This window comes from Homo sapiens, chromosome 11 (genome assembly GCF_000001405.40).
Source record: "Homo sapiens chromosome 11, GRCh38.p14 Primary Assembly".
In the NCBI taxonomy this organism is placed as follows: Eukaryota; Metazoa; Chordata; class Mammalia; order Primates; family Hominidae; genus Homo; species Homo sapiens.
The window spans coordinates 134,712,167-134,726,555 of NC_000011.10; the positions used below are offsets into that span (position 1 = coordinate 134,712,167).

The 14,389-nt window shown below is 45.8% G+C and overlaps 1 long non-coding RNA gene across 2 annotated transcripts; it reads left to right on the top strand.

Moving 5' to 3' along the window:
- Positions 1–259: 259 nt before the first annotated feature.
- Positions 260–3,760, top strand: LINC02706 (long intergenic non-protein coding RNA 2706). Of its 2 annotated transcripts, none has more exons than NR_183642.1 (2): positions 260–2,614; positions 3,541–3,760. It is a non-coding gene; the product is annotated as a long intergenic non-protein coding RNA 2706 (long non-coding RNA). The 2 variants fall into 2 exon arrangements; NR_183643.1 differs by having other exon boundaries at positions 260–611.
- The last annotated feature ends 10,629 nt before the right edge of the window (positions 3,761–14,389 follow it).

The window sequence follows — 14,389 nt, forward strand, 5'->3', positions numbered from 1 at the left end:
AATGGGAAAAGTATATTTCTAAAATGAGATGGCAACCTGGCCACATTTACAATTTATTGTTTGAGAGGGTTTCCTGAAGTTATCACCAAACGAGTATTAAGCTCAATAAACATGAAGTACAAAAGAGGCTGTACAGGGAAAGCAGAGGCTGGGTACGACTATGGCTGCCTTTAGTGAGATACCACGCACGCACGCACGCACGCACGCACGCACGCACGCACGCACGCACGCTCTTACGCTGTTGCGGACAGCAGCGCCCTGCCTACTGGCCCATCAGGGGGTTGCGTGCGCAGCCTCCTCTGTTTCCGCCCTGAGAGCGGGCTCTTCTGAGTCGGGGAGAATTGGGCATCGTCACGTGCTCTGTCTGCGCCCCGAGTGGCCTCTTCTCCTCCTCCACAGACACCTCGGGGAGGGGTCATCCTTCAGACACGCTGAGCCTAGGCTGCCCGCCCTTCCGCAGCCCCGCCCTGGCCGGCTCCTCGCGGCCCACTAGGCCGGTTCTTCCCCACGTCAGGACCCCGCCACCCCACTCTGCCCCTCCACCCGAGGCTGCCTTATCCTTTTGCTTTCTCTCTTAAATCTGCTGCCCGTTACTGCTATTCTACCCTTTGGTAGGTGTCAACAGATGTTCACACTTTCCTTTCTTTCTGATGGTGGTCAGGAAACCTAGCACTCCACCTAAGGCGAAGAAGCCGGGCGTTTGTCTGTTGTGAGTGAGTGACAAGGGCGGAGGAGGCGTGCCAGGCTGGCTGCAGTACCATTCCCTGAGTCTGGCACTGCCTGAAGGGAGCCCTGCCGGTCACATCAGACGTTCCTAAGGGGCCTGGAGTGAAAGGTGCTTGCAGGGAGCAAGTGAAAGTGGCGCCCCCACCCAGTCTGCCCATTCCACCTCTCTTTATACTGATGAGAGAAGCCAAAGGGAGGCAACAAGGAAAAGAAGAGAAACTGGAAGCTGGGATGATTGACAGACTAGAATGACAGGCTGCTGAAACTGAATGAAACCCCAGAAGTTATCAATTCATCCTTCACTTTTTGAGTTTTTATTGAAGTATGTTATAATTATAGAAAAGTGCACACATTAGACACACAGTTTGGTAAACTTTCATAAACCAACCACAGCCATAGCATCAGCACTCAAATGGAGAAACCAAAAGCGGCAGCACCCTGGGAGCTCCCGGAGCGCTTCTGCTGTCGGACTCCTCCCCGGTAACACATACAGTGTGTCTAACATATATTGGTTTTGCCAGCTTTGTACATTAGCTAAATTGAGTGTCACAGTATGTGTTTATATCTGGTTTCTTTCCTTCAACGTCATGTTTGTGAAATTTATTCACACGGTTGTGTGCAGCTATGTTGTTCCTGCTCACAGCAGTTTTGTGCCCTTGGGTGAAAACACCACATTTTCTATTGGAGGCTGCATAGCTGTCTGAAGTTGCACGTGAGTGTGGGACCCAGCACAGGAGGCCCAACTGGACTCCTGCCCAGTGCTCATGTCACTACCTCACACTACCCACCTTCAACATTAAGTTCTACATGCTATGCTGTGCATACCTGTCACATTCCCTTGAATTAGGACGGAAGCTGGATTCACCCCATGTGCAGAGTGGGGTTAATAAAAGCAAGTTTTGGCAATATACTCCTTCCATGGCACATAAACTTCAAGTCACAAATCTGGATGTGCATAAAGGTGTTAACACCAAGAGTTGGGGTAATATTTCATCTGCTCTGAATGCAATCTCTATTTCTGGATGTATTCATTTGGCAGGGAGTTCTGCCACTTAAGAGCTAGAGTCGATTCTCCAGGGAGGCAAGGGGATTTTTTTCCTGGAGAGCCATCTTGAGACTGAGAATACATCAACGAACTCTGCTCTTAGCAGTACAGGTCAAGTGTTGGAGGCAGTGGAGGTCAATGTCTTGCTGAGCCAATGTGAGCCTTCTGTGGGGCCTGGCAAAGCTAGACATTCCCTCTCTGCAGCTCTGCAACCTTTCTTCCCCCATAACGTGCCTCTCACATCCCGTCCCCAAGGAGCCACTTATTCCCATGACAGGTTTATGGTCTAGTTGAACCAGCTGCCCCTCTGGCCATGTGCACAGTTAGAGAGGCAGGGGCCTCTAGTCATTCTCTCTCCCTCTGCCCTGGCGTCAGCCACAAATTCCAGCAGGCTCATTAAAGTGTCCACCTGTCTGAGCACCTCATCAGAAGGATTCAATGGCTGCAGAACCTCGCTGCTCCCTCCACCTGGAGCGGGGCTGACCCTGCAGTGGCGCGTTTGGCCTGAGCCCCTTTCGTTTTTACCCTCAGGAAGCTTGGGGGCTGCGCAGGCCAGGGCTCTGCCTGGGCTCTGAATGCTGGAGAGAAGGAGGAGAGAGGAAGTGGGAGAGGATGTAGTAGTTTCCCCTGTCTACTTTCTCTACCTTCTTTTCTCCTCTACCCTCCCTTTCCAAGCTCAACTTCCTTGACAGTATTAAGGAAATACCTTTTTTAGTTACCAAAATAAGTTGCTCTGTGGAGAATTTCTGATGATCTCATGGTGATTTTCCTGCACCCGGAAGACACTTTGCTTTGCTTTGGGACCATGGATATTCCTTGGGGCAGCCACCAAGGATGAATAAGGTGGGATTCTTACCATGTCCTCCAGCTCTTCTGAAACTTATCAACAGGGTAGTGTATTTGTTTTACCTCCTTGACAAGTTTGTTTTAAGAATAAAGTAAAATAATATTTCTGAGAGTGATTGAAAGTCCATATTTAGGAGAATGATTTTGTTTACTCTGAGTACAAGAGACATCAAGGAACAAAAAGATTTCCTTACTACCTAGAGAAATTGTTAGCATTGTCACTCTCCTATTGGTTTGCTTTGACTGTGTGGGAGTCAGATCAGCAGAATGGAGAGGGCAGCTGGAGTCAGAATCATGGGCAGGGAAGCCAGCTGGCAGCTCCCATCGTGCCAGGGGACATTCTGGCTTGCTTTATGTCCTCAACAGCTTCCATCCCTTACTGTTCACAGGTGAATGCTTAATAAAGCTTATGGAGGCCCAGTGGGGAATAACTATTAATTAATAAGTACTAATAATTGTGAGCAGCAACAGTTACAAAATGCTCAGGCTAGATCTGGCATTATTCTAAGTGCTTTTTGGTCATTATCTCATTTGATACTCCAAAAACTCTTTGAGATAGGCACATTATTTATTTTATAAACAAGGAAGTTTACGGAAAATAACATATATTGGCTCTAGCCATGGCTGCGGGGGTGAACTTTCTGAAACATTAATTAGCTCTTCTCTATCCCTTGCTCCAAACTTAGAACAGATCTCATTGCCTTCTATAGAAACTTCTGAGAATCAGGATTTGACCATGAGCAATTTGATCCTAGAACCTCTGCTACTAAATTTCATAATATTGTGTTTTATAAAAGTTAAAGAGTGCAGTGAATTGTGGAACATTCATGGTGATTTGATTGCCCTAAAATCAAATCAACTGGGGAAAAGTTGATTTCTAAGGAAAGTACTCCCAGCTCATTTTTTGACCTGATGTCTTCCAGGTTTGAATGGGGAGGCACTGGCCTCGGAGCTCCTTGCTGCTGACATCAGTTGTGCCCTTGTAGGAGACGTCCTGGTCCTGTCTGCCTCAGAGGCTTCCATCTGCGGATTTCCTGAGGTCGTCCCCTTACTCCTCTGCTGCAGTCTCTCTCAACATTTCAACTGTCTGCTCCAGAAAGTTACTCTGTCACTAAGTAAAATAAATACAAACAAAATAAGCAATAATCTACCCCCTTCCTTTCTCCTCTGGTCCCCTCTCTGTCTGCCTGTCACCCCCTCCTCAATGAGAACGTGGATCCCTCGTGGCATTTCTCTGGAGGGATGGCCCAGGCTTTCCCAGCCCATGCACTCTCAGCCAGATCATTTGCCTGCGGTCCCATGGCCGTCTCCAAAATGTGCTCTCCTCCAAAGACTAGTTTTGCTGATTGTCTTTGTTGCAAACTGTTTTTCTCCACACTACGCAATTGGCATTGCCTTTTTCAAAGTATATATTTGTTTTTATTTGCCAAATCCACTTGAATATACTCAGCTTTACTATGGAGTTTGAAGCCTGTGACTGTATCCAATTTATGAAATGTTGTCTCTCTTCCCCGTCCTGTGTGATGTTGCTTTCTCCGTAATTTCCAGTGCTTTTTCCCGATGCATCCCCCCAGGTCTCTTTTGTTCCATTCTGCATTCTCCGTGAGTGTTCTCCTCCAAAACCTCAGGTGCAGTCACCACCAATGCCCCACTATCTCCTGAATCATAATCTATAGCCTCAAAGCTTTTTGTAAACTCCAGTAGCCTGCTGCTCATCTCCAGATGGATGCTCTGCAGAAAACCTAAATGCAAGTTATCTGAGATGGGATTATTGTTCCTCTCGGTTTCCAACTGTAAGCACATTATGCCCCGTCTCCAGCATATGCCCCCACCTTGGCCCTGTGTCTCACCTCCCATCTCCCATCTTCTCTTCTTTCTCTAGTCCCTCTCTTTTCCCCCAGAAAGTAACCTGGGGTTAGTTCTGGAAGCTCCCTTCTCATGACTGCACACCAACTCCTGCCAGCTGGGCTTTATCAGTGCCTCTGCCCTGTCGCTGTCTGAGTCAAACCCTCTGAGAGTCCTGCTTGTGCAGCTGTCACGGCTTCAGCTCTTGCTGTGTCTGCTGGGGTGAGCTTTTTCAAACATTCTTCAGCTCTTCTCTACCTTCTGCTCAAAACCTTAGAACGGGTTTCTGTTGTCTTTAATATAAAATCCTGAGTATGGAAAGCAGAGTCCCATTGACCTTTCCTGTACCATCCCCTGCCAACCTTCCCCAGATGCCACAGGCTCCAGTGAAGGATCATGGTCCATTTGACACCTCCAAGGAGAAGATGCTCGCTGGCACCTCTCTGCCACTGTGTGTGCTGTTCCCTCTTTACAAACTGTTCCTCTCCCACCCTGCACCCTTTTATCCCCCATCATCCTTCAAGGCTCAGATCATGTGGCTCTCTAGGAAACATGTCCTCACTCCTTTACCTTCCCCTACTGGGGTTAAATCCCCACAAACAACACTGGCGACTCTGCTCTGTAATTTTTCACTTCCTTCTCTGTGAAGGAAGGATGTGCCTAGGCTGCCACACAGTACTTAGAATTATAGAGAGAACTAAAATTTGCTTGTGGAAGAAATGATAAAAAGAAACATACCTGGGCTGTGGTCCTCATTTTCCACATTGGATACCTGCCACTGTCCAGAGACGGTGCTCAAAGCTGTGAAGGAAACAGACACGATTAGGACAACAGTGATTCTTTTGAAGACGCTACTTTCCAGTAATGGAACACAGGTAGGAACAGGTATATTATGAGGCAGGATGAAATTAGTTTGCAGACATGTAGTGCACACGTAAGCCTTGTGTTCTGAGTTTCCCCGGCTGTGTAACAAACTACCCCAAAATGTAGTGGCTTAAAACAACCAATTTATTATAGTTCATAATTTTGTGGGTTAGGAATTCATGCAGGGTTCAGCTGGGTGATTCTTCTATTCCTTGTAGTGCTAACTGAGGTCATTTGCTGGTTCTTAGGGGCCAGAGAGGCCAGTCTGGAGGGTCTGAGGTGGCTTCACTTATGTCTGGCACTGCAATAACAATGGTTAGATATCATTACCTAAAATGTAGGATATCACTATCCTAATCCAGAAATCATTATCTAAATCAGGTTCAGGAGCAGGTGAGGCTCCTGGATGTACTTCCTCATATGATGTTGCTCTCACTCTGAAGACTCATGTCCTAAAGAGACACATTTTCTGCCCCCTTCACACCCAGCAGACAGTGGTGGGGCAGATACAGTAAATCTGCAGTTGTTCTCTGTAAATCTACAATAGACACTCCAGTTCAAAAAGCAGGAGAAGGCAGGGATCACAGCAGTTCTGAAATCCAGTCAGGCCCATTCTGCCCATTCCTTAGTGAGGGTTCAGTTATGCTGCCTGGGAATGAGCGTGGCTCCTGGCTCTGCTTCCTGCCTCTGATCATCCTTCCCTTTGTGAGAAATGACCTGTGTCTGCAGCTGGGCAGTTTTCTTAGCTTTTGTTCTGTCCAGAAAAGGCTGTGTACCTGGAGGACTCTTCATCTCAAACAGTCTCTCTTTGTTTATTTTAGTTCAAGTGGATGGTGCATCTACCAGTACAATTATCTTGAAAACTTTGTGGGATTCTATGTTATTTTATATAAATATCTTGCTTTCTATTAGCAAAGGCACACAAATTTCCTCAAGAACTTTTCTGGCTTGGACTGAGAGATAGCTTTCTATAGGCAGACACCCTTGATACTCTTAGAAGCATTTTTCTCTGGTTGAGAACAACTATGAGTGATATATATATGCATGCATTGGAGCCTCCTATTCCTATTGCAGAGCTGTCTATTCCTCCCATTAATGATGCCAGTGTGTGCTTTACATGACTAGGAACTCTGATGTTCGGTACAGGAATATTTGTAAGTGTTTATCTTCTTGGCGAATTGATCATCTGGGCATATGATGCCTCTTATCCTTCGTGTTTTGTATCCGTTTTTGACTCGAAGTTTATTTTGCCTGACATGAGTATTGATACCCCTGCTCTCTTTTGGTTATTATTCGTATAAACTATCCTTTTTTATACTTTCACTTTCAACTTATGTGTCTTTAAATCAAAAGTGTCTCATGATTTCCAGAGCTCCCATAAAGTTCTTTTAGCCCATCTCCAGTGGTTTATTTGGTGTTTCTGTGAAAGCTCAAGGACCTGGAGCTTCCTAGTCCGCCATCTTGCTGACGCCTGTCTCCATTTGTTTGTTGTTAGTGGTCCTCAGGGCTGCTGCCCTTTGGATCATGTTTTGCCTTTTCTTATTTTTTCCTTTTTACCCCATCGCTCATGTTGCTGAGGGTACGTCTGGTTCATCAGCTCTGACGATGGGGTAGTTTTCCTAAATGTGTATCCACCACATTTGATTTATATATTTCCATGGTTGTGCTGAATTCCTGACAGCAGACAACGTTGCAACCATACCCTGATTTCAGCCAGACTTCAGAAAGAGCAACAGTAGGGTTGTACAACCTACCATAGTAGGGTTACTATATACTAGAAGTAATTCTGGAGTGAAGTTATGTGTCTGTCCTTCCTGGAGCTCTGTAGGACATGGGCAGACACTCTGAGGTGACTGGGTAAACTTTGATGAAAGTTAACAGAGTGTTACCCCTCCTCCTGATCTTGACCACAGCATACTATGATTCCAGCCTAGTGTCCTAGATTCCTTGCTATGGAAATCACAATGCTGTAGCTTTGTTTCAAAGCAAATGCCCGCTGGTATGTCTGTGCCATTTGTGTCCTGGTGATGCCCGTTTCTTGCCAGGCATTAGGTAGATCTGAAGGGCTGCTTATGCTACACCTCAACCCACCTCACATTGCCTCCCCACCCTCCTGCGAGCCCAGGCACAGCTCTCCTCACACCGTGGTTTCCCCGTCTATCCAGCTCAGCACAGAGGGCAAGAGGCATGGAGCCAGCACATCTGGATGGAAAAGAGGCAACCTGCCTGATGCCTTTAGATTCTGGTAAGGGAAGATAACCAAAACAGAGTCCAGGTGCTCCAGAAGGGTACAGGCTGGGCTGGCTCACTTATGCAAGGTGCTTCCATCAGGATTAAATAAGCAGATATAAACCTTGCACTAAGGTAACAAGAAACTCAACATTTTTTTTTAATCACCTGAACTTTTGCGATTAGTTCCATTCTACTGGGCTGGCTGAAATTCCAACCTCATTCATTTTCATGGCTCTTCTCAATGAGGTAAAGTTCCCACGGGGTATGTCTTGCCAAAGCCCTGGGGGGCCTTCCAGCCACTGGTTATCTGTTGGTACTGGTCTCTGCAGAAATAGCCCACATCTCAGTCCTTGCAGCCGTTCAGTGCTGAGGGCTTTGGGTGTCTTTATTTATTTATTTTTATTTTATTTATTTATTTATTTATTTATTTATTTATTTATTTATTATACTTTAAGTTCTAGGGTACATGTACACAATGTGCAGGTTTGTTACATATGTATACATGTGCCATGTTGGTGTGTTGCACCCATTAACACATCATTTACATTAGGTATATCTCCTAATGCTATCCCTCCCCCCTCCCCCAACCACAAGAAAGGCCCCGGTGTGTGATGTTCCCCTTCCTGTGTCCAAGTGTTCTCATTGTTCAATTCCCACCTGTGAGTGAGAACATGCGGTGTTTGGTTTTTTGTCCTTGTGATAGTTTGCTGAGAATGATGGTTTCCAGCTTCATCCATGTCCCTACAAAGGACATGAACTCATCCTTTTTTATGGCTGCATAGTATTCCATGCTGCATATATGCCACATTTTCTTAATCCAGTCTATCATTGATGGACATTTGGGTTGGTTGCAAGTCTTTGCTATTGTGAATAGTGCAGCAATGAACATACATATGCATGTGTCTTTATAGCAGCATGATTTATAATCCTTTGGGTATATACCCAGTAATGGGATGGCTGGGTCAAATGGTATTTCTAGTTCTAGATCCTTGAGGAATTGCCACACTGTCTTCCACAATGGTTGAACTAGTTTACAGTCCCACCAACAGTGTAAAAGTGTTCCTATTTCTCCACATCCTTTCCAGCAGCTGTTGTTTCTTGACTTTTTAACAACTGCCATTCTAACTGGTGTGAGATGGTATCTCATTGCGGTTTGATTTGCATTTCTCTGATTGCCAGTAATGATGAGCATTTTCTCATGTGTGTTTTGGCTGCATAAATGTCTTCTTTTGAGAAGTGTCTGTTCATATCCTTTGCCCCCTTTTTGATGGGATTGTTTTTTTCTTGTAAATTTGTTTGAGTTCTTTGTAGATTCTGGATATTCGCCCTTTGTCAGATGAGTAGATTGCAAAAATTTTCTCCCACTCTGTAGGTTGCCTGTTCACTCCGATGGTAGTTTCTTTTGCTGTGCAGAAGCTCCTTAGTTTAATTAGATCCCATTTGTCAATTTTGGCTTTTGTTGCCATTGCTTTTGGTGTTTTAGACATGAAGTCCTTGCCCATGCCTATGTCCTGAATGGTATTGCCTAGGTTTTCTTCTAGAGTTTTTATGGTTTTAGGTCTAACATTTAAGTCTTTAAACGATCTTGGATTAATTTTTGTATAAGGTGTAAGGAAGGGATCCAGTTTCAGCTTTCTACATATGGCTAGCCAGTTTTCCCAGCACCATTTATTAAATAAGGAATCTTTTCCCCATTTCTTGGTTTTGTCAGGTTTCTCAAAGATCAGATGGTTGTAGATGTGTGGTATTATTTCTGAGAGTTCCGTTCTGTTCCATTGGTCTATATCTCTGTTTTGGTACCAGTACCATGCTGTTTTGGTTACTGTAGCCTTGTAGTATAGTTTGAAGCAAGGTAGCATGATGCCTCCAGCTTTGTTCTTTTGGCTTAGGATTGACTTGGCAATGCAGGCTCTTTTTTGGTTCCATATGAACTTTAAAGTAGTTTTTTCCAATTCTGTGAAGAAAGTCATTGGTAGCTTGATGGGGATGGCATTGAATCTATACATTACCTTGGACAGTATGGCCATTTTCATGATATTGATTCTTCCTATCCATGAGCATGGAATGTTCTTCTATTTGTTTGTGTCCTCTTTTATTTCATTGAGCAGTGGTTTGTAGTTCTTCTTGAAGAGGTCCTTCGCATCCCTTGTAAGTTGGATTCCTAGGTATTTTATTCTCTTTGAAGCAATTGTGAATGGGAGTTCACTCATGATTTGGCTCTCTGTTTGTCTGTTATTTGTGTATAAGAATGCTTGTGATTTTTGCAATTGATTTTGTATCCTGAGACTTTGCTGAAGTTGCTTATCAGCTTAAGGAGATTTTGGGCTGAGACGATGGGGTTTTCTAAATATACAATCATGTCATCTGCAAACAGGGACAATTTGACTTCCTCTTTTCCTAATTGAATACCCTTTATTTCTTTCTCCTGCCTGATTGCCCTGGCCAGAACTTCCAACACTATGTTGAATAGGAGTGGTGAGAGAGGCATCCCTGTCTTCTGCCAGTTTTCAAAGGGAATGCTTCCAGTTTTTGCCCATTCAGTATGATATTGGCTGTGGGTTTGTCATGGATAGCTCTTATTATTTTGAGATACATCCCATCAATACCTAATTTATTGAGAGTTTTTAGCATGAAGGGCTGTTGAATTTTGTCAAAGGCCTTTTCTGTATCTTTTGAGATAATCATGTGGTTTTTGTCTTTGGTTCTGTTTATATGCTGGATTATGTTTATTGATTTGCATATGTTGAACCATCCTTTCATCCGAGGGATGAAGCCCACTTGATCATGGTGGATAAGCTTTTTGATGTGCTGCTGGATTCGGTTTGCCAGTATTTTATTGAGGATTTTTGCATCGATGTTCATCAGGGATATTAGTCTAAAATTCTCTTTTTTTGTTGTGTCTCTGCCCAGCTTTGGTATCAGGATGATGCTGGCCTCATAAAATGAGTTAGGGAGGAGTCCCTCTTTTTCTATTGATTGGAATAGTTTCAGAAGGAATGGTACCAGCTCCTCCTTGTACCTCTGGTAGAATTTGGCTGTGAATCTGTCTGGTCCTGGACTTTTTTGGTTGGTAGGCTATTAATTATTGCCCCAATTTCAGAGCCTGTTATTGGTCTATTCAGAGATTCAGCTTCTTCCTGGTTTAGTCTTGGGAGGGTGTATGTGTCCAGGAATTTATCCATTTCTTCTAGATTTTCTAGTTTATTTGCGTAGAGGTGTTTACAGTATTCTCTGGTGGTAGTTTGTATTTCTGTGGGATCGGTGGTGATATCCCCTTTTATCATGTTTATTTCGTCTATTTGATTCTTCTCTCTGTTCTTCTTTATTACTCTTGGTAGCGGTCTATCAATTTTGTTGATCTTTTCAAAAAACCAGCTCCTGGATTCATTGATTTTTTGAAGGGTTTTTTGTGTCTCTATCTCCTTCCGTTCTGCTCTGATCTTAGTTATTTCCTGCCTTCTGCTACCTTTTGAATGTGTTTGCTCTTGCTTCTCTAGTTCTTTTAATTGTGATGTTAGGGTGTCAATTTTAGACCTTTCCTGCTTTCTCTTGTGGGCATTTAGTGCTATAAATTTCCCTCTGCACACTGCTTTAAATGTGTTCCAGAGATTCTGGTATGTTATGTTGTGTCTTTGTTCTCACTGGTTTCAAAGAACATCTTTATTTCTGCCTTCATTTCGTTATGTACCCAGTAGTCATTCAGGAGCAGGTTGTTCAGTTTCCATGTAGTTGAACGGTTTTGAGTGAATTTCTTAATCCTGAGTTCTAGTTTGATTGCACTGTGGTCTGAGAGACAGTTTGTTATAATTTCTGTTCTTTTACATTTGCTGAGGAGTGCTTTACTTCCAACTATGTGGTCAATTTTGGAATAAGTGCGGTGTGGTGCTGAGAAGAATGTATATTCTGTTGATTTGGGGAGGAGAGTTCTGTAGATGACTATTAGGTCTGCTTGGTGCAGAGCTGAGTTCAATTCCTGGATATCCTTGTTAACTTTCTGTCTCATTGATCTGTCTAATGTTGACAGTGGGGTGTTAAAGTCTCCCATTATTATTGTGGATGCCTTTATAGAACTGATGCTGTAGGCAGCATGCCTCTGCTCTCCACCCATCTTCCTTAGACATCTCCCCCGGGTTGAGACCGGCTGTTCCAGCTGCATGCCTCCATGTCTCTCCTCCCAATCTGTCTTCTCAGCCACCACCTGTTCTCCACATCTCCCCCTCTTTCTCCCTGACCTAGGTACTTAGCAGCATTTTTTAAATTGGTGGCATCTTTTACAATGGACAGGAATAGTAATTAATGACAGCCTTCTTTTGCTTTTTATCTTGAGAAAAAAACCAGCCATTGAATGGTAGCTAGAAAAGGGCCTGACTCTGCCTGAATAGGTGAGTGGGATGGGGAGGAAAAAAAGTTAGAATACAGCACAAATTACTATTTTAAGATATGATTGTGTCTCATTGATAAATCACAAAGTGAGCCAAGGTGTGGAGAGGAAACGCTCTGCCTTTTAGAGAGAACCGAGTTCCATTCACAGCCCTGCTTCCCACTAGCTGAGAGACTGCGTAAGTTCCCTCACACCGGGAGTCTGCATTTCCCTATGTAGCATAAGGGTGTGTTAGGTGGTTATGAGGATTTGGTGAGACATTTTGTGGCACGGTGACGCACACTGACTGCTTCCTCCAGCTTCACTAGATACACGGTCCTGGCATAAGTCAAATGTGAGCAGATCATCAAATCCTTGCTGTTGATTTACAAGTGTTCAGCAAGGCTAGGAAGAAAGTCAGCCTCCGCAGCTGCACAGGGGATGGGTTTTCTGGTGGGAGGCAGCAGCGGTCTCGCTACCTTGTGGTGGTGAACAGCACTGTCACCTGGCAGCAGTCTCTGGCTTTGCTTCACTGGGACACCGGTCCTGGCAGATAAGACAATGTGATTGAAGCAGGTCTGGGCTGAGGCTAGGAGGTATTACTTTTTACAGAGATTCTATCGTTTTTTTTGAATCAGTGGCAACTGCACTGTGGCCACACTCCTGAGTCTGGGCCCTGCCTCTGCTGGGGGCCCTGCAGGTGCTTCCTGTGATCCTGCCTATCTGGAGGGGATGCTTTGCTCACCCCAGGCATTGATAGGGGCCCCTGGAATCCTCTTCCAGATCAGCCCTGAGAGTCAGAGTGGGTGCCAGAGCAGACAGGAAGGCACCTCGTGGCTAAGATGGCATGACTAAGTGTGGCCCGAGCGGAGACGGGGCGTTAACCCTCGTGCTTTCTGCATCCCTCACAGGTAAATACACAAATAGGAATGTACTCAGGGATGTTGCTTTGCTTCCGTGCTGGCTGGAATGATTAGATTATAAACTCCGAGCCTCAGAGCTGACTTCTGAGATTGGACCGGGGAGATTTGAGAGCTGAGAACAGCATTGTCTGTTGGATGCCAGGCTTTCAGATCCCAGGGAGGCCATGTGGGGCCATGAGAGCTGGAGGAGGGCCTGAGGCCATGACTTGGAGGCTCAACGTTTTCCCTATTGCCCCTGATGTGCCCGTCCTTCTTGGCCTCCTGCCCCCGTCCTTCCTTCCCACATGACCATACCCAACCCCGGATGGGGGCTGCCAAAGCCCCCGCAGGCCGGTGCTGGTGCTGCTGTCCACACAGGCAAGCTCCTGTGTGAGCCCCGAGGGACCAAGCTGCCTCGTGTGAGCTGTGATCCTGCAGGCGGGAGACAGATGCAGATGGACTGAGAGTGGGGGAGATGGGGGTTACACATGGTTGGACCATTGGCCGGCTGGGCACGGGCATTTATTGGGCGTCAACAGGGCCTGCACAGGCTGGGTGCCACCTGGAGTGTGGGGTAGGGTGATGAAAAGCAAATGGAGAAAAGCAATCTCTGCACCTGGGGAGAGGCCGCGCTGTCTGTGAGACAGGATGAGCACAGAGGCAGGACATGAGGATAAGTGTGGGCCTGAATCCAGTTTGTTGGCACTTTGGCCTCAGGGGGCCTGAGGAGCATGACTGGCTGACTGCTCAGTCAGCTCAGAGCAGGGGGTTTAGGGGCAACTTATAAAGTCTCCCCCGAGATGGGAACGTGGCGTCCAGATCTCATGCTGGATGCAAACTTACAAATCACCAGTCCCTTCTGAGGCTGAAGTCTCTTTAAGGATTTTGGTATTTTCAGTGTAAACCCTGGATGTATTTCAAACAGATGGGTTTTGGAAGGCTCTGTGGCATTTTGTGAGTGTAGCTATGGGAACACACGTTAAGTATATCTCTGTGCGGGAGGGTAGAGTGTTGCTCCACCCTTCTCTCTGCTCCCAGGCTTCGGCAGCTCACACAAGGTGGGAGTAGGGTCCTCCCGTGTGTCCCAAGCTCCCCGCCAGCCTTGCGTCTCGACAGCTCCGCAGTGCGGAAAACTCACCTGTCCAGCTCTGCGTCTGTCACTGTCAGGCTCCTGAGAAGGGGCCCCCTGCTGGATGGAAGAAGGGCAAGGCATGACCGGCAGATCCGCTGTACACGTCTCGCCCTAGTTTTCCCACGAGCAAACCTTTTTCAGGATTCAGGGCAGGTGTGGGATTATCATCTCCAATGTAACTCCCAATGCTGGCATTCTGTGGTCATATCATGCCAACTACTATACCCAGGTGCTGCTCTGTGACCAGGGAGGCTCAGGAATTGGGCACAAGCAATCTCGGGAAATACCTTTTGAGGATTAAATTGCAGTCGGACAGGTGGCAGAAACGTAGACATTCCATTTGTGATCACAAAAAAGATGAGGTTGGCAACACACCCAGAGAGAGGCTCATGGGACAGAAGAGAAGCAGCTCCTCACCTGACCTCAGCTGAGGTCAC